General features: G+C 59.5%; 1 annotated feature.

Annotated features, from left to right (window-relative positions):
* Nucleotides 1,215-1,808: an enhancer, noted in NCBI's record as "H3K4me1 hESC enhancer chr17:56152348-56152941 (GRCh37/hg19 assembly coordinates)". NCBI's record gives its function as "activates a minimal SCP1, AML or CMV promoter by ChIP-STARR-seq in naive H9 embryonic stem cells {active_cell/tissue: H9 hESC(naive)}" and the evidence as "EXISTENCE:reporter gene assay evidence [ECO:0000049][PMID:30033119]".

Genomic DNA, 2,173 nt, shown 5'->3' on the forward strand with positions numbered 1-2,173 from the left:
GCTGTTGGGTACACCTCCCAGACCGGGTGGTGGCCGGGCAGAGGCGCCCCTCACCTCCCGGACGGGGCGGCTGGCCGGGCGGGGGGCTGACCCCCCCACCTCCCTCCCGGACGGGGCGGCTGGCCGGGCAGCGGGGCTCCTCACTTCCCAGTAGGGGCGGCCGGGCAGAGGCGCCCCTCACCTCCCGGACGGGGCGGCTGGCCGGGCAGGGGGCTGACCCCCCCCACCTCCCTCCCGGACGGGGCGGCTGGCCGGGCGGGGGGCTGACCCCACCACCTCCCTCCCGGACGGGGCGGCTGGCCGGGCAGAGGGGCTCCTCACTTCCCAGTAGGGGCAGCCGGGCAGAGGTGCCCCTCACCTCCCGGACGGGGCGGCTGGCCAGGCGGGGGGCTGACCCCCCCACCTCCCTCCCGGACGGGGCGGCTGGCCGGGTGGGGGGGCTGACCCCCCCACCTCCCTCCCGGTCGGGGCGGCCGGCCAGGCAGAGGGGCTCCTCACTTCCCAGTAGGGGCGGCCGGGCAGAGGCGCCCCTCACCTCCCGGAGGGGGCGGCTGGCCGGGCGGGGGGCTGATCCCCCCACCTCCCTCCTGGAGGGGGCGGCTGGCCAGGAGGGGGGCTGACCCCCCCCCACCTCCCTCCCGGACGGGGTGGCTGCCGGGCGGAGACGCTCCTCACTTCCCAGATGGGGTGGCTGCCGGGCGGAGGGGCTCCTCACTTCTCAGACGGGGCGGCTGCTGGGCGGAGGGGCTCCTCACTTCTCAGACAGGGCGGTTGCTAGGCAGAGGGTCTCCTCACTTCTCAGACGGGGCGGCCGGGCAGAGATGCTCCTCACATCCCGGACGGGGCGACAGGGCAGAGGCGCTCCCCACATCTCAGAGGATGGGCGGCCGGGCAGAGACGCTCCTCACTTCCTAGATGGGATGGCGGCCGGGAAGAGGCGCTCCTCACTTTCCAGACTGGGCAGCCAGGCAGAGGGGCTCCTCACATCCCAGACGATGCGCGGCCAGGCAGAGACGCTCCTCACTTCCCAGACGGGGTGGCGGCCGGGCAGAGGCTGCAATCTCCGCACTTTGGGAGGCCAAGGCAGGCTGCTGGGAGGTGGATGTTGTAGCGAGCCGAGATCACGCCACTGCACTCCAGCCTGGGCACCATTGAGCACTGAGTGAAGGAGACTCCGTCTGCAATCCCGGCACCTCGGGAGGCCGAGGCTGGCGGATCACTCGCGGTTAGGAGCTGGAGACCAGCCCGGCCAACACATCGAAACCCCGTCTCCACCCAAAAAACACGAAAACCAGTTACGCGTGGCGGCGCGCACCTGCAATCGCAGGCACTCGGCAGGCTGAGGCAGGAGAATCAGGCAGGGAGGTTGCAGTGAGCCGAGATGGCAGCAGTACAGTCCAGCTTCGGCTCGGCATCAGAGGGAGACCGTGGAAAGAGGAGAGGGGGAGGGGGAGGGGGAGGGGGATGGAGAGGGAGAGCCACATTGTTATGAATTAATGAATGAGCTCAGAAAGGTTGTAGGTTACAAATTATAATGCATATACAAAAATCAATTGTATTTTATATACTAGCAATGATTACAATCTGAACATGAAATTATGAAAACAATTCAATTAAAAATGGCATCAAAAATAATTACTCAGGGAATATATGTAGTGAAAAATGTGCAAGACATGTACACTGAAAATTAGAACACATTATTAAAAGAAATTAAAGAAGACTTAACTAAATGGAAAGACATCCATGTTCATGGACTGGAAAACTTCATATTGTTAAGATGGCAATACTCCCCAAATTGATCTACCAGTCAACACAATCCCTATCAAAAATCCCAGCTGGATTTTTAACAGAAATTGATAAGCTGGTCCTACCAGTCATATGGAAATGCAAAGGACTCAGAATAGACAACAAATCATAAAAATTAGAGCAAAGATGGAGGATTCACACTTCCAGATTTCACAATTTACTACTTAGCTACAGTCATGAGGACAGTGTGGTACTGGCATAAAGATAAATATGTAGATCATTGAAATAGAATTGGCAGTTCAGAAACTCTTACATTTATAGGCAACTGATTTTTTATAATGGTGTCAAGACAATTTAGTGGTGAAAGGATAGCCTTTTCAACCATTGATGTGGGACAACTGGGTATCCACATGTAAAACAAATGATG

Source organism: Homo sapiens, chromosome 17 (assembly GCF_000001405.40).
Source record: "Homo sapiens chromosome 17, GRCh38.p14 Primary Assembly".
NCBI lineage: Eukaryota > Metazoa > Chordata > Mammalia > Primates > Hominidae > Homo > Homo sapiens.